Genomic DNA, 21952 nt, shown 5'->3' with positions numbered 1-21952 from the left:
AATCTTAGTTTGTAGTTAATTTAGCTTATCTGTAATATGGAACATCCTTGGGTAGATTTAAGCTAGGTCCTTAGCTTCTCCTAAATATACCTGATCCTCTGATGTCAGCAATGGAACAGGCTGGGGTTGGCAGGTGGTTCTTTTCACAAGAGAAAAATGCTGACTTGTTGGGTCTCCTAGGGCTTCTTTGAATCCAACCACATTCTTTCAAATCCATTCTAACCTTCTCCGCACCCTATAATGGGCACCCTGAGAATGAGGTGGGAATTAGAGAGGTCGTGAAGGATGAGGTCATTTACACAGTGATAACGTCTTCTAAAAGTCAGAAGTTACTGAAGAGAGATTCTGTGAAAAGTAAAAAGAGATTGCTGGGAACTTCAGTCGTGGGTCTGAACATCCTGGAAACTGTATCCAGAGAGAGGGATGTGGGTTAATGTGAAAGTAACTGTGTAAACATACAGTTTCAAGGCTATCCTAACATAGACACGGACAGTATGTATTTGAATCACAAAATATGAGTAATTTATACTGGTCATACCTGTCATTGCACAAAACCTATAATGGAATCCTGCTGTGATTTTTGGGGTTGGAGTTCAAGTACAGTGCCTACCCTGCTGGCCAGTCCTTCTGCGTCATCACGAAGAGGTTTTCTGCTCAGGATGGTGCTTGTGGGGACATAAGGACCTTTGAGATGGAAAACTATGACGTGGCCCATAATGTGGCTGAATTCCGCTTTTAGCAAGGTGTTTTAAACTTAAATGTTAAATCCTTCTCTTGAAGATAACACTTTGCTTTTCTGCTTACGCTGTACAATTAAAAAGATTAAAGATGGGTAGGTTCGGTTTGAAGACATATGTTTCAAAAACCAAAGCTCCCTTGGAGAAATAGGTGATTCCATGTGTGAGACTGGAACTTACAAGATGAGACTGGAAAATCTCATCGTGCTAAAGAGCAAGGAGGTATTCAGAAGCTACTAGAGGGTGGCAGACTCTGGATAAGCTGCGTGTGCCCAAAGATGGAGCAATTTGAGCATCCGAAAGAGTACTCACCAAAATAACTGTTAACATGGTTTGGCTGTGTCCCCACCCAAATCTCATCTTGAATTGTAATTCCCATAATCCCCATGTGTCATAGGAGGAACCCAGTGAGAGGTAATTGAATCATGGGGATGGTTACCCTCATGTTGTTCTCATGATAGTGAGTGAATTCTCATGAGATCTGATGGTTTTATAAGGGGCTTTCCCCTTTGCTCGGCACTTCTCCTGCCTGCTGCCATGTGAGGAAACACGTGTTTGCTTCCCTTTCTGCCATGATTGTAAGTTTCCTGAGGCCTCCCCAGCCCTGCAGAACTGTGAGTCAATTAAACCTCTTTCCTTTATAAATTACCCAGTCTTGGGCAGTTCTTTATAGCAGTGTGAGAACAGACTAATGCAATTGCAAAGGATTGAAACATATAAACTATGTTTAAATAAACACACTCAACTCATTAATCACTTTGGGAGGATGTAGGGAGCCAATTTATTATTTGGAAAAGAAAAAATGATGCATATGTCTTGTCTTCCCTATATGAGCTATATCTCAGTGTCACCAAGAGTTGATGGGAGAAATTGGTCTTTATTTAAGCACTGCAGCAATAAATGAAGAAGTAATGATAAGATGAGAATATTGTCATTTGGCAACCTCTGATGAGTTAGTAAATCCAGGCAGTGATTATCAGTGGCAAGTAATGTTCCAAAAGAAGAGACAAGCAGCTACCAGGTATCTCTCAATGGAAATGTACTAAGCCACTTATGAAGTAGTCTTGCCAGAAATATTAAACTTGAACTTGATTAAGCTCTAGATCTAACTACCAATTGACAGGGAATATAAAAGACAGAGAAACGTGTTAAAGGATCCTACAGATATAATCAACAAAATTTAGACTGTGGAAATTCTTCAGGAGAAAAACCCCAGGAATTTTTTTATTCCCAAAGTTGGAATGAAATGAAAAAGGGCAGGAACCTATGAATTAAATAAACCCAAAGAGATCAACAATTCATAATCCATAACTTCAGGAGGAGTCTAATGCACATAGACAGGGTGAAACATTGTAGGACAATCAGGGAAGTGGAACACTGACTTGATATTAAGGAATCATGGTTATTTTTCTTAGGACAATGACATTGATATTAGTTTTATATTTATATTTTATATACCATGGCCCCATCTTTGCTCCCACAAGAGGGATCAGTCCCCACAGGTGGATCAAAGGTGTGATTACTTGTATTGAATTTTAAGAACCACAGGAATAGTTCTTGCTCCTCCTTCAGCAGTGTCCTGAAGATAGTGCACACATAGTTCCAGAGATACCTATGTGTTCCTACTTTAGAGGAAAATATTACAAGATGAAATGCTATGATGGCTGGATTGATTCCTACTCAGTGGATAGGGAAACTAGGCAGAGTATAGAAAAACTAAGATTGATCAGGAGTTGGTAACTGTTGGAGCTGAGGGATATGCATAGAGATTCATTCAACTATTTTTGTATTTTTGAGTATGTTTGGAAATTTCCATATTAAAATTAAAATGACTTGGAAGCCACTGGATCCCATAGTTCATGATCTCTCATAAGCACAGCCATGTGGAACATTGAACTACTTACCTGTTGTCATGATCTCTACGGTGCTCATGAATAAAGCTGGGTCAGTGGGTCTGTGGGAGCAGTGCTAAACTGTACACTCATGGGATGTGTAACAGCAGCTGCTTCGGGGAATCAGACTCATCTCTCAGTGATACTCACTATCATCACACATGACATGCCTGGTTAATCCAACATTATATTTCACAAGCTACCAGCACACAGCTGTTTTTTCTATATTCCTTTCTAGATTCCTTTCTATATTCTTATTTTTCTATATTCCTTTCTATATTCTTATTTTTCTATATTCCTTTCTAGATGCCTATTTTTCTAGAACACTTTATATATTCCTATTTTTATATATTCCTTTCTTTATTCCTATTTATTTTCTATGATCCTATTTTTCTATATTCCCTTCTATATTTGTTTCTTCTATATTCTATATTCCTAAATATATTTCTATATTTAGACCTTTAAATCAAGATCAAAACCTTGGACTTACCTCTGGACTATGTGTGCAAAAGAGCAGAGATTATTCACTGGATGATTAAAATTGAATACAAATGATCAGATCTTTGACCTGGCTATGAGGACTATAGACAATGGATGAGTGCAAGCTGGGAAACAGGGGTATATTATTTTTCCCTAAAAGGAACACACAGCTCAAATGTGTTCACTCAAAGAGTGACAAGGATGGACTAATCATAGTGGTTTAAAAAGATCATGCTTTATCTTTACCACACATTTTATGATCTGTAAACCTCAAGGTACATCATTAATGTACTTGCACCATTGCACCAGTGACATCTGTTCAGTTGAAACCTTTGGAAAAGAGCCTACTGCTTGCCACTTAATATAAGAGAGAGGAAGAAGGCAGAAATCCAAATATACATGACCAAGCTTCAAGGGCTGGGGAGGGGACAATAGAACCAACAAAACCCAGTTCTTTTTTAGACAGAGTTTCACTCTTTTTGCTCAGGCTGGAGTGCAGTGGGGCAATCTTGTCTCATTGCAACCTCTGCCTCCTGGGTTCAAGTGATTCTCCTGCCTCAGCCTCCCAAGTAGCTGGAATTACAGGTGCTCGTCTCCACTCCTCGCTAATTTTTCTATTTTTTAGTAGAGATGGGGTTTCACCATGTTGGCCAGGCTGGTCTTGAACTCCTGACCTCAGGTGATCCACCTGCCTTGGCCTCCCAAAGTGCTGGGATTACAGGTGTGAGCCACCGCACCCAGCCCCAAAACCCAGTTCTTATCAGAACGTTCTTATCAGAAGGTTCCTGTGAAATCAAACTGAATGCTATGAAGAAAACAATGTTGACAACCTAGTCTTAAATCAAGATTCATATCATCCAAAAATTCTTCTCTAACATTCCTTTTATAACAACCTTTCTGTTATTCTGTAGTCACTTAGTCTTTGGAGCTAAAACATCATCATATTTTTCTTTATATGCTATTCTCTAATTATTTATGGGTTGCTTTAAATATATGTTATATCCTCAAGTGCATATCAAATATTCCAAAGGGCAAAAGCTTTTAATTTTTGTCCCATTTCATTTTTTTAAAATCTTTTTTAGAGACAGCATCTTGATCTGTCTCCTAGGCTGGAGGGCAGTGGTGTGATCATGGCTCACTGCAGTCTCAAAGTCCTGGGCTCAAATGATCCTCCTGCTTCAGCCTCCTGAGTAGCTGAGACAACAGGTGCGTGCCACCATGCCCACATAGTTTTTAAAACTTTCTATTTGTAGAGATGGGGTCTTGCTATGTTGCCCAGGCTGGTCTAGAATTCTAGGCTCAAGCAATCCTCCCACCTCAGCCTCCCAAAGCACTGGGATTATAGGAGTGAGCCATTACACCCGGCCCTCCCCTATTTCTTGGTACACTGATGCAGAGGCATCCAAAAAGCCTTTCTTGGAAGAAGGAAGGAATGGAGGAAGAAAAGAAGAAAGGGAGAAAGACCAGCATATAGGAGTTTAGAGGCTGAAATATTACATTACTGCTCAAGCTCTGGTATGAATAAACAGATTTTTTTTCAGGGCCAAACTTAAAGATTTAAATTAAAAGTCAAAAAAAGTTTTACAGTTTGTACAATCAAGATGAATGATTCAATATTATGGGGCTTACAGTAAGTAAAGTATAATAATTCAAGTAACTTGGTGCAATTATTAAAATATGTACTGAAATGATCAATTAACCTTGGCTATAATGCTAATAGAGCTTCATAATCATTTCTTCTTTAATATGTCCTATGATTTTTCCCTAGATTTTTTTCAGTTAAGTCAAACTGAAAATGATTTCCCAGATGTTTGGTAGTGTGTGTGTGTGTGTATACATATATACATACATACATATATATATATAATATGCATATTTTGTATATAAATTTAAGAAGCAACATTAAGTACACAAGAAGCAACAAAATCAATTCACCAGCTTTAGCAATATTTGTTACTCATACTGAAAGAAATTACCTCTGAGTAATTTGATGAGAGGTATTTCCCATTGCACTTAGCAATGCGTCTCAGGATCTGTAATGCTTTATCTCCTTTCTTCCGAGTAATCAGCCAACGGGGAGACTCAGGGACCACCCTGGCAAAGAAGGAGGCTGTTGTGAGTTATGTCTAGGAATTTCAAACGCTAAAATCTATTGCCTTGAGTTTTTCTATCAAAATGGATCTTGCAATTAGATATACATTTAGGAGTCAATAAGAGTTGATAATAGGTCCCTGAAATACAGATTATTCCTGCAAGGTTATAATGGATGGGGAAAAATGCTAGCTTGATAATTGGATCATTGCTCATCAAAATAATCAACATGACATTGCTCTTGCAAAACCAGGCTATCTTACAATATATTGATTCCATATATGAAAAGAATTGGGATTTAGTAAATATTAAGAAAAGCTTAGGAATCTGATTTATGTAAACTGACTTGCCCATATATTAAAATTAAATTAGAAGAATCATTAAAACATGTTCATTCCAATAAAAATCAAATGCTGGCTGGGTGTGGTGGCTCAGGCCTGTAATCCCAGCCTTTTGGGAGGCCGAGGTGGGTGGATCATTTTAGGTCAGGAGTTTGCAACCAGCTTGGCCAACATGGTAAGACTCTGTCTCTATTAAAAATACAAAAATTAGCTGGGTGTGGTGGTGCATGCCTGTAATCCCAGCTACTGGGGAGGATGAGGCAGGAGAAGCACTTGAATCTGAGAGGCAGAGGTTGCAGTGAGCCGAGATCGCACCACTGCACTCCAGCCTGGGCAACAGAGTGAGACTCCATCTCAAAACAGCAACAACAAAAATCAAATGCTTTTCTGTTGCTTTTTGATAATGTAATTTTTTGATGCTCTTAACATTTCCTTATTCCTCAGAGAATTTCTGAGTAATATTCATTTGCTTTATAGAACACACAGAGAAACAAATAGACTTCATTGCATTTAATTTGCATGTTGAAATACTGGCAGATATGGTTGGTTACTTTATAGTTTTCATGAAGCTATTTATTACAAAACAAAACATAATGCAGTACCCTACTTAAAATTTTGCGTTCTGGTATTTTATTAATTCATTTTTCTTCACAATTATTAATAAAATCATCAACAAATACTCTCTTTAAATCCTAAAATTCTCTAAAAATTCTCAAAGCATGTAGCCATTTTAGAGATGTTTGAAAACACTGTTGGTGGGACTGTAAACTAGTTCAACCATTGTGGAAGTCAGTGTGGCGATTCCTCAGGGATCTAGAACTAGAAATACCATTTGACCCAGCCATCCCATTACTGGGTATATACCCAAATGAGTATAAATCATGCTGCTATAAAGACACATGCACACGTATGTTTATTGCGGCACTATTCACAATAGCAAAGACTTGGAACCAACCCAAATGTCCAACAATGATAGACTGGATTAAGAAAATGTGGCACATATACACCATGGAATACTATGCAGCCATAAAAAATGATGAGTTCATATCCTTTGTAGGGACATGGATGAAATTGGAAACCATCATTCTCAGTAAACTATCGCAAGAACAAAAAACCAAACACCGCATATTCTCACTCATAGGTGGGAATTGAACAATGAGATCACATGGACACAGGAAGGGGAATATCACACTCTGGGGACTGTGGTGGGGTCGGGGGAGGGGGGAGGGATAGCATTGGGAGATATACCTAATGCTAGATGACACATTAGTGGGTGCAGCGCACCAGCGTGGCACATGTATACATATGTAACTAACCTGCACAATGTGCACATGTACCCTAAAACTTAGAGTATAATAAAAAAAAAAAAAAAAAAGAAAATTTTCTTTATTGCTTTCATTTTCATGTCTGTTTGGAGTCTAATTTCTGCAGAATCAGTATAAATATGATGATAACCAAAACCACATTACCAGTAATAAAGGAGGAAGAGAAAGCTGGGCAGCGTGATGGCTAACTGGATTCCTTGCCAGTTGGGGATGAAGTAGGCAATTCCAGGGAGAATTATGATTCCAAGGGTAAAGAACATTTGAATCACGATTCCCACAATCCTCCTTTGTTTCGAACCTACTATTTCTGTCACTAAAGGAAAACAAACACAAGAGGTCACAGAAGCACAAGGTCAGCTCCAAAATAAACAAACAAATACAGAGATGTTACACCTGTTACATCCATCAGCATTGCTAGAACACGCTAGCACTCAGATACGGAGGCTTCCACACTTGCAGAAAGGATGGAGGTGTCCTTCTTGATACTAAATGCTTTTCTCCCACTCTCACCTCTGCCATTTATCACAGGCACTTGCCATGTTCCTCTTATGCACCCAGACCAGCACTCTTCTGGGTACAATAGGGAAATACGAAGAATATCTGTGTTGGTTTTAGGAAAGCTTCAGTGATGATTATTTTAAAAGGTAATTGTAATTATCAAAACATAAATATGTTAAGATGGCTACATTTTATCACTGTATCTCTAGAGATATGCACATTCTAGTCTCCTTAGAAGATTCATTATAAATATAAGACTCTACAAAGACTTTTCGTTATCACAAGACAACTTCTATTAAATGATAATTCTCTCCACAGTGTTATACTTTTCATTGACAGGATATGCTCTAAAAATCACATGGGAAATTTTATTGCTGAAATCTTTTCCTTTCCTGCCCCTTCCCACTAATTGGTTTCTCATATTCTGATTATCCTGGGATAGGCTACTTTATTGTTGCCCTCAGATCACAACTTTGAAGATTCACCTAGGCTGAGTCTCCTTAAAAATGCCTTGCCTTCCAATGTTACTCCTTCTGTTCCAGACAGTGACAACCAATCCCTCTAATCATCTTCTCTCCTTCTCCCACTCACAGAAAGGTCTTCAGGGGTCTCCAAAATGCGCACTGCTTGGAGATTGTATAGCAGTGACAGAGGAGAGTGGAAGTGCAAAGATCTGCAGCAATAATCTAAGATGAGAATTCACATTTTCCTGGTCAGAAATCCACCACTACTCTTAAAGTAAGTGGCTGGTCCCAAGCTAGAAATGGAACCAAAAGGAGTAGCCAGGGCTTTCCCAAGGGACATGAGAAAAAAGTAAAGTGAACTTTTTCTTTCTTCCATCACCAGAAGGTCAAACTTTCTGGCTATAGAAGGTATCCAAGGGTCACAAATGAACTTCTCATTTTTAGAACCTATTTCTCCCATAGTAAAAAGTTTCCCACTTGTACAGAAAGAGGAGAGTTGGCAACACAGGAAAGTAATCTCAAACTGTATCACATAACACAGTGCAGAGAAAATGCTTTAAAAATGCCTCAAAAATGCCTCAAGAAGCTACTGAGATTTTATAAAAATTAATTTCTTATAAAGCAAAGCTAGAAACCATATTATAACAGTGTAGAAGTACATAAAAGTAGTTTGCCCCAGTGCTTTATAATATTCTATATTTGGCTCCCAAAGTAAGGTGGTATTTTAGTTTCTAAAGCACTCAGAATCCTACCTCTGAGCTCTCCCATCTGCAGAAATAATTACTGTAGCTGCAGTGAAACCTCCTTTGTTAAAGGACACATGAGGAAGAGGAAGGTTGATTAACTAGCATTTGTTGGCTATCTGGCCCTAGTTTCCAAATAGAGAAGATGGTGTAAGAATGTCTTACCAATCACGTAGCAAGTCATCCACGTCCCCTTTCCAAATACACCTTGCAGGAAGCGGAAGATCACAAACACAGGGAAGTTTGGTGCAAAGGCCACCACAACCCCAGTGACGCCAACACCAAGGCAGGATAGCAAGTAAATGACGATCCTGCCATACCTTTTTGAGAAAGACAGGAAAAGAGCTCACCTTAAACATTTTCTTCAACACAATGGGAAAATATAACATAAAATATTATATCATACCATATTATACTGTATTACATTATATCATTTTATTTTAAAGATGTTTTGTAGAGACAGGGTGTCCCTATGTTGCCTAGGCTGGAATTACAAAATTTAAAGTACAGAATGCATCCTTTGTGATTGCAGTTTCTGAAAAGATGACCCTCCTTGAAACTATTGTTTCACACAGAGTCTCCCCGGTGGTACAGATGTGACACTTTCTAGCATTTTTTATGTGTCAAGTCATAAGGACAGAGAGGCAGAAAGAAGAAGGAATGGTGTGTTATGGCCAGAAGGCCTTGCCTTGAATCTCACCTCAACCATCTACCAGTCATAAGACCTTGGGCTAATTCCTAAGGTCTTCAAAACGAAGGTTTTGCTTGCTTGTTTTTGTTTATTCCCACCTTTTTCTAGAGGGAGGTTGTAGAGAGGATCAAATGAGATGTTAATGTGAAAGTGTTTTATAAACTACAAAGTTCACAGCCAATGTCAGTTGTTCTTAAATTTTGTATTTTATTTTCACCATTGGCATATGTGTTATTAAATAGTTTAGGAAAAGGAACAAGGTAACATGCACAACATTCTGAGAGACTGGTGTGAATTGGTTCAGCATAGTGGTGTCAAATTATTGTCTGGTAAATGTTTGCTATCAATGTCCATTAAGAGATTTGATTCTATTACATCTTTTCATAAAAATTTCCATAAAATATGTACATATAGCATCTTGCTTGAGTCAGCAGAGTAGAGATGGAAGTAGCCTTAGTTTATCTAAAATTTTTTTTAGTGGACTCTGTCCCCTGCCCCTACACATGCACAGCATACTCCTTGTTAACATTCCCCATGGGAGTGGTACACTTGCTGCAATTGACGAACCTACAGGGACACATCATAATCACCCAATGTCCACAGTTTACATTTGGGTTCACTCTTGATGTTGCAAATTCTATGTGTTTTGACATGTGTATAATGACACGTATCCACCATTAAAGTATCTAACAGAATAGTTTCTCTGCTCTAAAAATCCTCTGTGCTCTGCCTGTTCATCCCTCCCTCTCCCCACCCTCTAGCAACCACTGATCCTTTTTTTTACTGTCTCCATAGTTTTGCTTTTTCCAAAATGTCATATAGTTAAAATCTTATAGTATGTAGCCTTTCCAGATCAGTTTCTTCATTTAGTAATAAGTACTTACGTTTCCTCTATGTATTTTCATAGCTTGATAGCTCATTTCTTTTCAGCATGGAATAATATTCCATAGTCTGGATGTATCACAGTTTGTCCATTCACCTATGGAAGGGCATCTTGGTTGCTTCCAAGTTTTGGCAATTATGAAGAAAGCTGCTATAAACATGTATGTGTAGGTTTTTGGGTGAACATGAGTTTTCAACTTTTTTGGGTTGGAATTGGAATACCAAGGAGTACAATTGCTGGATCATTTAGTAAAAGTATGTTTAATTTTGTAAGAATTACAAAAATGTGTAAGAATTTTGTCATCTAAAGTCACCTTTCATTTTGCATTCTCACCAGCAATGAATGAGAATTCCTGTTGTTCCACATCCTAGTCAGCATTTGGTGTTGGCATTGTTCTGGATTTTGGCCATTCTAATAGATATGTAGTGGTATCTCACTGCTGTTTTAATGGGCATTTCCCTGATGATATATGACGTAGAGCATCATTTCATATGCTTATTATCATCTGTATACTCTCTTTGGTGAGCTATCTGTTAAGATCTTTGGCCCGCTTTTTAGTTGGGTTGTTTATTTTCTTATTGTTGTGTTTTAAGAGTTCTTTATATATTTTGGATAACAGTTCTTTATCAAATATTTGCCTTTTGTTAATATTTTCTCCCAGTCTGTGTCTTGTCATTTCATTTGTTCTCTTGATAATGTCTCTCTCACAACAAGAAAATTTCAATTTTAATGAAGTCCAGCTTATCAGTTCTTTTTTTCATGGATTATGCTTTTGGTGTTGTATCTAAAAGGTCATCTAGATTTTTTTCCTATCCCATCCTCTAGGAGTTTTACAGTTTTGTATTTTACATTTAGGTCTGTGATCCATTTTTTTTAAAGGGTGTAAGGTCTGTGTCTAGATTCATTTTTTTTTTTTTTTTGCATGTGGTTGTCCAGTTGTTCCAGTACCTTTTGTTTTCTGCTTTGTCAAAGGTCAGTTGACTATATTTATGTGGGTCTATTTCTAGGCCCTCTATTTTATTCCACTGAACTATTGGTAGAGGTCTATTCTTTCACAAATACCACACTGTCGTGATTACTGTCGCTTTACGGTAAGTCTTGACGTTAAGTAGTGCCAGTCCTCTGGCTTTGTTCTTCTCCTTCAGTACTGCGTTGGCTATTCTGGGTCTTTTGTCTCTACATATAAACTTTAGAACTAGTTTGTCAATATCCACAAAATAACTCTGTAGGATTTTGATTAGTATTGTATTGAATATATACATCAAGTTGGGAAGAACTGACATCTTGACAATATTGAGTCTTCCTATCCATGAATGTTGAATATCTCTCCATTTATTTAGATCATCTCTAATTTCTTTCATTAGAGTTTTGCACTTTTCCTCACATAAATCTTGTACATATGTTGTTAGATTTATATCTAAGTGTTGTGTATTCTTGTGGTGCTAATGTAAATGGCATTATGTGTTTAAATTCAAATCCTACTTGTTCATTGTTGGTACATAGGAAAGCAGTTGACTTTTGTGTATTAGCCTTGTACCCTGCAACTTCACTATACTCACTTATTAGTTTCAGGAGTTTTTTTTTTTGGTTGTTGTTGTTGTTAATTCTTTTGATTTTCTACATAGACAATCATGACATCTGTGAACAAAGACAGTTTTTATTTCTTCCTTTCCAATCAGTATACCTGTTATTTTCTTTACTTGTCTTATTTATTGTATTAGCGAGGGCTTCTAGCATGGCATTGAAAAGAAGTTATTAGAGATGACATATTTGGCTTGTTTCTGATCTTAGTGAGAAAGCTTCTGTACAGTTTATCGTCATTAAGTATGATGTTAACTGTAGTTTTTTTAATAGACATTCCTTATCAAGTTGAGGAAGTTCCCCTATATTTCTAGTTTACTGAGAGCTTTTGTCATATATAGATGTTGGATTTTGACAAATACTTTGTCTGTATCTATTGATATGATCATGTCATTTTTTCTTCCTTAGTTTGTCGATGTGATTGATGGATGACATTAATTGACTTTAGAATGCTGAACCAGTTTTACATACTTGGGATACTACGCACTTGGTATGCTACAGTATTTGGTTGTGGTGTATAATTTTTTTTATACACTATTGGATTCTACTTGCAAATTTTTGTTGAGGATTTTTGCACTTATGTTCATGAAATATATTAGTCTGTAGTTTTCTTTTGTTGTAATGTCTGTCCAATTTAGGTATTAAAGTAATGCTGGTCTCAGAATAAGTTAGAAAGCAATCCCTCTACTTCTATCTTTGGAAAGAGCTTTTAGGGAATTGGTAGAGTTTCTTCTCTAAACGTTTGGCAAATTCACCTGTGAACCCATCTGGGCCTGGTGCTTCCTGTTTTGAAAAGTAATTAACTATTGATTCAATTTATTTAATAGATATAGCCCTATTCAGATTGTCTATATAATCTTGGGTGAGTTTTGGCAGATTGTAATCTTTCAAGGAATTGGTCCATTTCATGTAGGTTATCAAATTTGTGAACACAGAGTGTTCATAGTATTTCTTTATTATCCTGTTAATGTCCATGGGATCCGTCAAAATGTCCCCTCTTTTATTTCTAATATTAGTAATTTATGTCTTCAACCTCTCTCTCTCTCCTCTTTCTTTTTTCTTAGTCTGACTGGAGGCTTATTGATTTTTTTTGATCGTTTCAAATAACCAGCTTTTGGTTTTATTTTCTCCCTTGATTTCCTGTTTCTAATTTTATCGATTTCTGCTCCAATTTGTATTTTTTTTTCTTCTACTTGCCTTGGGTTTAATATGCTCTTCTCCAGTTTCCTAAGGTGAAAGCTTAGATTATTGATTTTATATATTTCCTCTTTTCTAATATATGTATTCAATGCTATAAATTTCCCTTTAAACATTGTTTCTGTTGCATTCCAAAAGTCTTGAGTGTTTTCATTTTCATTTTGTTTACTATACTTTTTAATTACTCTTGAGATTTCTTCTTTGACCTATGTGTTACTATAGATGTGTTGTTTCATCCCCAAGTATTTGGGGATTTTCCATCTATCCTTCTGTTATGAATTTCTAGTTTAATTCCACTATGTTCTGGGAGCAGAGATTGTATAATTTTTATTTCTTCAAATTTGCTAATATATGTTTTATGGCCCAGAATGTGATTTATCTTGAATATTGCATGTGAATATTTCATTAGAACTTGAAAAAAATGTTAAGTCTGCTGTTGTTAGATAAGGTTGTCTAAAGAGGAAAATTAGATACAGTTGATTGATGATGCTGTTGAGTTCAATTATATCTTTATAGGTTTTTTACCTGTTGAATCTGACCATTTCCAACAAAGGGATGTTGAAGTCTCCAGTGAAATCGTGGATTAATCTATTTCTCATTCCAGTTTTATCACAGTTTTTGCCTCTTATAATTTTGTGCTCTGCTACTAAACACATAGATATTAAGGATTATTGGCTTCTTGGAGAATTGACCCCTTTGTCATTATATAATGCCCGTTTTTATCCCTGATAACTTTCCTTCCTCTGAAGTCTGCTCTGCTGATAATAGTATAGCTACTTCTGCTTTACTTTGATTACTGCTATCATGGTATAGTTTTCTCCATCCATTTACTATTAGTGTATATGTGTCTGTATATTGAAAGTGGATTTCTTGTAGACAACATATATGGTTGGGTCTTGTTTGTTGATCCACTGTGAAAATCTCTGTCTTTTAGTTGGCTCATTTAGACCATCTTACATTTAAAGTGAGTATTGGCATGGTTGGATTAATGTCTACCGTATTTGTTATCATCTTCTATTTGTTTCCCTTATTTTTTATTCTTATGTTTGTATTCCACACTTTTTCCTGGCTTTTGTGGTTTCATTGAACAGCAGTTTATAGGATTCCACATTTTCTTCATTTTAGCATATCAGTCATGCTTTTTTAAAAAAAATCTTTTTTTAGTAGTTGCTTTAGAGTTTACAATATACATTTATAACTAATTCAAATCCACTTTCAAATAACACTGTATCACTTCATGAGTAGTATGAGTACCTTATAACAAAAAATACTCTATATATGCTTATGTATGCTTATATATATAAACATACACAACCAAACACATTGTTGCTATTATTTTGAATAAACTATTATCTGTTAGATCAATTGAGAATAAGAAACATATTCTCAATTGCTTATTCCTCTCCAATGCCTTTCCTTTATGTAGATCTGGATTTCTAACCTAGATCATTTTCATTCTCTCTAAATAATTTCTTTTAACATTTATTACAAGGCATCAAATTCCCTCAATTTTTGTCTAACAAAGTCTTTATTTCTCCTTCACTTTTAAATGATAACTTTGCACAGTATAGAATTCTAGATTGGATTTTTTTTCTTGACACTTTAAGTATTCCACTTTCTTCTTGCTTACCTGGTTTCTGAAAAGAAGTAGGGTGTAATTTTTATCATTGCTCTTTTACTATAGTAAGACATTATCCCCCCACTCTTCTTTCAGAATTTTTCCTTTATCTTTGGCTTTCTGTAGTTTGACTACGATATAACTAGGTATACTTTTTTATGTTTATCTTGCTTGATTTCCTTTGAGTTTCCTGGATCTGTGGTGTCTGCCATTAATTTTGAAAAATTCTCAGTCATTATTGTTTAAAATATTTTTTCTATTTCTCGCTCTCTTTATTCTCCTTTTGGTATTCCTATTACACATATATTATATCTTTTGTAATTGTCCCACAGTTATTGAACATTCTGTTCTGCTTTTTCAGGTGGTTGTTATTGTGTGTGTGGGTTTTTTTTTTTTTTTTTTTTTTCAGTTTTGGAGGTTTCTACTGGGATATCCTCAAGGCCAGAGATTCTTTCCTCAGCTATGCCCAATCTCCTAATAAGCCCAGTAACAACGTTTTTCATTTCTGTTACAGTGTTTTTGATCTCTAGCATTTCATTTGGTTTCTTTTTTTAGAATTTCCATCTCTCTACTTACATAGCCCAACTGTTCTTGCATGCTACTTTATGCATCAGACTTCTTGGCATAGTTGTTTTACATTCTTAGCCTGATCATTCCAACATCCCTGCCATATCTGAATTTAGTTCTGATGCTTACTCTGTCTCTTCAACTGTGTGTGTGTGTGTGTGTGTGTGTTTTGGCTTTTAGTATGTCTTGTAATTTTTTCTTGATAGGTGGACATGGTGTACTGGGTAAACGGAACTGCTATAAATAGACCTTTAGTAATGTGGTGGTGAGGTGTTGGGGGAGGGAAGGCATTCTGTGGTTCTATGAGTAGCTCTCAGTCTTTTAGTGAACCTATGTCTCTAAACGGTGAACTTCACAAATGCTTCTCTATCCCTCTCCTCTGAACTAGGGGAGAAAGGCTAGAGGGGGCTGGAGCTGGGTATTTCCCTTCTTCCAAGTTGAAAGCTAGAGGAGGCTAGAATTTGGTGTTTCTCTTTCTCCACTTGGAAGGCTAGAAGGGGCTGGAGTTGGTATTTCCCTTCCCCCAGATCAATGAGGCTCTCAGAAAACCCCAGAAGATTAGGCTCTGGTTAAACATCTTCTCCTGAGGGCAGACATTGTTAAGAACGATATTCTGGCATATTTCAAAATTGTTCCTTTTCCCCTCTGGCTGCCAGAGCATGAGGGATTTTCCTTAATATTCACCTTTGGAACCTTGTAGAGCTTCAGGTGGCAAAAAAAAAAAAAAAAAAAAAAAAAATCACAAAAGCTTGGGCCCTCCTTTGAGTGAGTCCCTCTAGAGTTTTTAATCCTTCAGGTCATCCACAGTGATCCTCCAGGAATTCATCAATTACAGTTCATGTTTATCTACCCTGGCTCTCTCAAGGAGGTTTCTGCGCCTGTGTTATGATTCTCTGTATTCTCCTGTCTTTCTATTTAGTGGGGTTGGGGGTGCGGGGTGATGCTGAAGGTAGTAGTTTGCCCTGTAATCTCACTTCTCTTATGGATCTGAGAAGAATTATTGATTTTTCAGTTTGTTCAGCATTTTACTTGTTGTCAAGACTGAGTGGCAAATTCTAAGCTCCTTATAGGCTGAACAGGAAACCAGAAGCCCCAATCTAGATTTTATATTCACTTTCCACCCTTCCTACACTGTACTCTCATTGACAAATGGCCTATTAAGTTATTTCTTGTTCTTCCTTCACATATATAAATCATGGATATGGAGGAAGAGAAGAAGCCAAATGTAGGAAGCAGAGTTATTCATGGCTCCTCTTTTTCCCAGGTCTGGCCCCTCCCCTCCAAGGCAGCAAGTCCTATATGAGGACAGATGCTCAATCACTTATGAGAATATAGGAAGGGGAAATTCCCCACTTTAGTAACGTTAATTTAGTTTGGAGATATGGTTATTGACTGAGTAAGAGAAAAAAAACACAGATGAAGCAAAACCTAATATCCAAATTAGAAAGAGTAAAAACAAAACAAAATAAATAAATATTTAAACTGCACAGTTCCAAATTGTAGCCAGCAAAAAAAGAGTGGCATGTGGGGGAAATTAGGAAAGGAAAGATGAAGCTTGAAAGGGCTAGAAGTAGAACAGGAGAAAAGGACATCGATAAAAAGAAGAAAAAGGGGAAAGGGCATCACACATGAAAGGATCCAGCAGAAACTCACATGCAAAGGACAGCTGTGGAGAGGGCGAGAGAGAAACATGAAAGAGAAAGAAAAAGTGACAGAAAATGAAACCCAAGGCTCTACCCATTTTGAAGCACTGGTCTGATTAAACTCAGATCTTCAATTGGCTACAGGATATGGGGCCTTTTGTTGTTCTATTAGCTAATTAATTGCTGTTTGCAGTTCTCTAAAGGTAAACTTAGTATCACCCACTGAATGGTACAGTCACAAGAACCCACCATGGGCTGGGCTCGATTAACCAGAACAATATTAGGCCAGATATGGCCATGAGTCAGAGATGGATTAACCAGAACAATATTAGGCCAGATACAGCCATGAGTCAGCAATTTCCAGTCTATATTCCTATTACTCCTGCTAAGGGGGATAGAGAGGAATATTAAATTACTGCAAGTATTTTCATAGTTAGAATTGGAATTAAAAATAGAGTTAAACATGAATACAATAGCTAGCATCAATAATCTTAAGGAAGAAGAATATTTAAATAGAAAGCATGATGTCTTGAATATACACACTCACCATGCCTGCCACTGGGCAGTTGCATTTATGAATACAAAATAATAGAAAAAAACTCCTTTAGTGGTTTTTGGAAAAATATTTTTTTCACAGAGTTTTACATTTGTAGAATAAAATACAAGGATTTCGTTTAAAAAAAAATTAGGTGAAACAAATTTGGAATAGGCTAATCTTATGACTAAATTAATAAAACCACAATCAGTAAGTTGTTACTGAAGCACATCGAATTGATTGATTCTGTAGTATTCAGCATAACAGTGCATCAACCCAGTCATGATGTTCCTGCTTTGGAGGTCTGTGTTTTCATTCTGATGCTCTCAGTCCTACCGGGAACAGCCTCAGACCTTTGTGAAGTTCAAGGAATAAGGAGATGAAGTTTGAAAAGAAAAGAATTAGTCAAACCAACCAAGTGTGGATGTCATGAATGATGGAATCAAGAATTGTTTGCGAATTTAGCAAAAATATTGTTTTAATAGTTAACATAAAACATTTTTCTCCCCGTATTAATGCATGGTATTATAGTGACATAAAATGGCTGTCACATTGGTACCTACCTGTCTGCTGCATAGCCTAAGGTGAATGCTCCAGTCAGGAAGCCGAGGTTCAGGATGGCTTGGGTGAGGTCCAGCATCCACGCATTGACACAGACAAGGTCAAACTGAGAAAACAAAGAAAACACACATGGAGACATGCCAGAATGCAGATCTTCAAAACACCTTATCTTTTGTATAGATCAATGATCTGTAAAGATTTTTGCTCATATACTCTTTAAATAAATTTTGAAAATGTATCACATACGTATGTTTACATTAACACATAAATATCCTTTGTTTAAATAACTGCAAAGGATGTAATTTTCAGTATACTATGTTGTTATAACATCGTTCTTTTTTTTTTTTTTTTTGAGATGGAGTCTCGCTCTGTCACCAGACTGAAGTGTAGTGGAGCAATCTCTGCTTACTGCAACCTCTGCCTCTCGGGTTCAAGCGATTCTCCTGCCTCAGCCTCCTGAGTAGCTGGGACTACAGGTGTGCGCCACCACGCCCATCTAATTTTTGTATTTTTAGTAGAGATGGGGTTTCACCATGTTGGCCAGAATGGTCTCGATCTCTTGACCTCGTAATCTGCCCACCTCAAACTCCCAAAGTGCTGGGATTATAGGAGTGAGCCACCGCGCCTGGCCAACATCATTCTTTTAAGCGTATTGAATAGAGCAAGAGTCCCCAACCACCGAGTCATGGACCAGTACCAGTTTGTGGCCTGTTAGGAACCAGACCGCACAGAAGGAGGTGAGCAGTAGTGGGCCACGAGCATTACTGCCTGAGCTCTGCCTCCTGTCAGCTCAGCAGCGGCATTAGATTCTCATAGGAGCGTGAACCCTATTGTGGGCGGCGCATGAAATCTCGGTTGCGCACTTCTTATGAGAATCTAACTAATGCCTGATGATCTCAGGTAGAATAGTTTCACCTGAAACCATCTCCCCGAACAGCCCCCACTCCCTCCATCCATGGAATAATTGTCTTCCACAAAACTGGTCCCTAGTGCCAAAAAGGAAGGGATGGCTGCAATAGAGTATGAATATTATATGCTATCAGGTGTCCAATTGCTATAAACAGACTGTTCTTTAATAGTCTGAAATTTGACATCAATTTTTTTCTCTTTGAGCTCTTATTTTCATTTCCACAGACTTTTATTCTAATGTAATGTATTTCGTGTAGAAAATATTTTATAGGTTTTGTCACCATACTTCTATGTACAATAAGTTACATATATAAATTGACATTTAATTTTTAAAATTTTCCTGTGGCAATAAGTCTCTAAATATTGGATTTTTTCTGCTTGGGTTATAATTACAATTATCTTTAGATCATAATTGATAAAAAAATAAGATGTAATAAATTTTAAGAAATAATTATTATGCAGAAGTAAAATTTTGTTGGAAATGTATGTCTCCATGGCCAAAAGCGAGTCTAAGTTTTTCTAGTTAGGTCATGAAATCAGTGGATATATTATTTATTACTAGAATGAGTTAGGGCTCAAAATTAATTCTATTTCTGTTTTTCATTTTTATAAATTTATGGGCCAAGAAGATTTTTCCATATAAATAAATCAGTGGGAATGAAGGGAGTTTTGCTACAGAAATGTTACTCAATTCTTTAACCTCCTTCTCAGCTGTATGCCAAGATTCACAGTGATCTATCACCAAATTATTTTTACTTTTTTATTAGCCAGCATGTCATGTAAGTTCTCCTACAGTTCTGCTCTAAGGAAAAAAATGGAAACCATCAGACTTACAAAAAGTTGTTTAATTAAGTCATCAGTCATTTACATTTACTTATAATTAGTCTTACATTAAGAAAGTTACTTTCTTAATACTGGAACAATATGTCAAATTGTCCCATTGTTTGTTGCCCTGAAGATTTTAAAACTTCAAGTCAATGCCTCAGAGAAAGATGAGAGAGAGGCATGATTAATTTTGCAAAGTGGGAAAAGTACAATTTTGGGTAGGAACCTGCATCCTTAAAAGGGACATATTCTTAGACGAATTTGTTTTGGGAAAGAGTACGAATGTAGGTTGAGGATCTGAAAACTGGCTCCCTTAAAATTATCCAGGCCGACAATTCCTGTGATCATCTTTGCAAATCTCCAAGTGGTATGCTTACCCCAGTTTCATGCTGCAGTCTAACCACTGCATTAGACTCTAGCATGAAGAGAAAATTAATGTGGTTGGAATATGAATTTTGAGGAGTCTCATAAATACATATTCATAAGTAAACTATCGTATTTACTTATAAAGTCCAACTTCTTGCCTTGGTTTTACAGCTAATGACCTGTCACCTAACATAGTTGGAAAAAATTTGGAGGCAGTAGTAGTTGGCTTCTCACAGAGTTGCTGAGATGATCAGTCAAGATGTAAGAAGTAAAGAGATTTACAGATATGCATAATAGTTGTAATCATGGTCATTTTAAAGGATTTTTATTATCAATTTTGGTTTTTCGAGGTACAAAAATTTTATTTTAAGTAAACAAGTTGATGATTATTTATCTGAAATAATTTCTCATTGGAATTAAGCAGGCATAGTTATTCTATGTACTAAAATAAAAGTACATAGAATTTCAGAAAGCAAACAGCGAAATCAAACTACCAGCGGAAATGCAACATTTGCTTTGGAAAAGTATCAACCAGTGTCAAATATAAAAACCCAAACAGTAGAATTTGCTTCATCCATCTGTACTTCAAATAGCTGAGTTAGCTAGCAGAGGCAAACAGGAGTGCTTTTCGTAGATGACATAGCAAGGCCTATCAAGAGCTTGCCTTTTAATACATGTATTCAGCTGCTTTTGAACTATGTGAATTAAAATGCCCCCAAAATATTCTTTAAACCCATAAAATATTCTTTAATATAATACTGATTATCTTCTTGACTGTCCCATAAAAGGCATAGTCAAATAGGATTTCTCTTATATTTGATATTTAAATAAGAATCAATTTAAAATAAATACTTCAATGGTTAAAGTGCAGCGATAACACAACATTTTCTAAAGCTTTATGATAGGCATCTGGGCCAGATACTGCCTGCCCTTCTGTGTTTTCTGTACCTCAGGGGACTACATTTCTCAGATTCCTTTACTGGCAGGGTTCTGTGTAGGTTGTACCAGTAGGGAGCTAGTGCAAAATCAGAAGGTAGGAGGGAGGTAGTGGACATTCTGCTTCTGGCTGTGGCAGCAGCTCCAGCTCCAATCCTGACAGTGGTGGCTGTGGGAGTCAGCCAGTGCCCCGTGTGCCTGGCCACATGGGGGCAAAGGGATACTGCCCCACAGCTGCCAGCTTTGTAATGGCCACCCAGCAGGGCAGGACACTGCAGGAACTGTCCTTCCTGACCCCTGTCCTCTCCTTCTTCTTCAGCTCTTCCAAAACAGCTCAAATCCTAACGCTTTTATTAAATCCCTCTCTGGTTAAAATACCTAGCCTGGTTTCTGTTTTTGTGACTGGGATCTTGCCATCTTTCAAAGGTAGAAAATAAAGCAACAAACAAATTATGTGTTTCTAAAGAAATGCACACACATCCACACACGCTTGTGTTTCCTGTACAGGGAAAACTGCAGGCCCAAGGATTGAAGGGCTTGATGTTGACTCTTGCTCATAGAGTCAGGGGGCAGACCTCTGCCTCTAGGGGCTGACGCTTCCTAATCAGCTCTCAGCTTGCTGCCTGCCTGCTGATGCAACAGCTCTGGGCCTGCGATGTATCTTTCGTGTTTAAAGAGAGATTAGCGGGCACCAAAGCCATGAGCTTCACAGGCTAAGTACTTTTTTCTGATATAAAGTACTAAAAGCTTGTTGTAGTTCCTTGGGAGACCAAAAACCCACCTCTTGTCAATGGGAGATCATTGTGGATCACCAACAATTCACTTAAGTCTGAATCAATGACGCACATTTATGTCCTTCTCCTAAGGCAATCTATGTAGAACAACTGGGGCATCTCCTATTTTTTTTCAAAGTATACACATGCAAAAACATTAAGCAATTTTAAATGTTCATAAATCCATGTGTACCCATTCTGTTACTTATTAATCTTCAAAGTCACTTTTACACAAAGAAAATGACGCCTTTTGGCATGAGCAGAAAGTCAGTCTGATAAAAGACTCAAACAACTGT

At 37.0% G+C, this 21952-nt stretch overlaps 1 protein-coding gene across 8 annotated transcripts in view; it reads right to left on the bottom strand.

The window, feature by feature from the left end:
- SLC22A3 (solute carrier family 22 member 3) overlaps positions 1-21952 on the bottom strand; it is a 104200-nt gene that overhangs the window by 36646 nt on the left and 45602 nt on the right. For all 8 annotated transcript variants that reach the window (XM_005267106.6, NM_021977.4, XM_047419262.1 and 5 more), the window contains exons 2-5: positions 17850-17953; positions 8737-8891; positions 7011-7179; positions 5086-5203 (exon numbers count right to left, since the gene is read on the bottom strand). In XM_005267106.6, coding sequence (XP_005267163.1) covers positions 5086-5203; positions 7011-7179; positions 8737-8891; positions 17850-17953 — 546 coding nt within the window. The remainder of the gene's footprint in view (positions 1-5085; positions 5204-7010; positions 7180-8736; positions 8892-17849; positions 17954-21952) is intronic.

The sequence above is a fragment of the Homo sapiens genome, chromosome 6 (genome assembly GCF_000001405.40).
Source record: "Homo sapiens chromosome 6, GRCh38.p14 Primary Assembly".
In the NCBI taxonomy this organism is placed as follows: domain Eukaryota; kingdom Metazoa; phylum Chordata; class Mammalia; order Primates; family Hominidae; genus Homo; species Homo sapiens.
The sequence above is the reverse complement of the archived record's forward strand: the minus strand, read 5'-3'. Positions and strand labels throughout refer to the sequence as shown.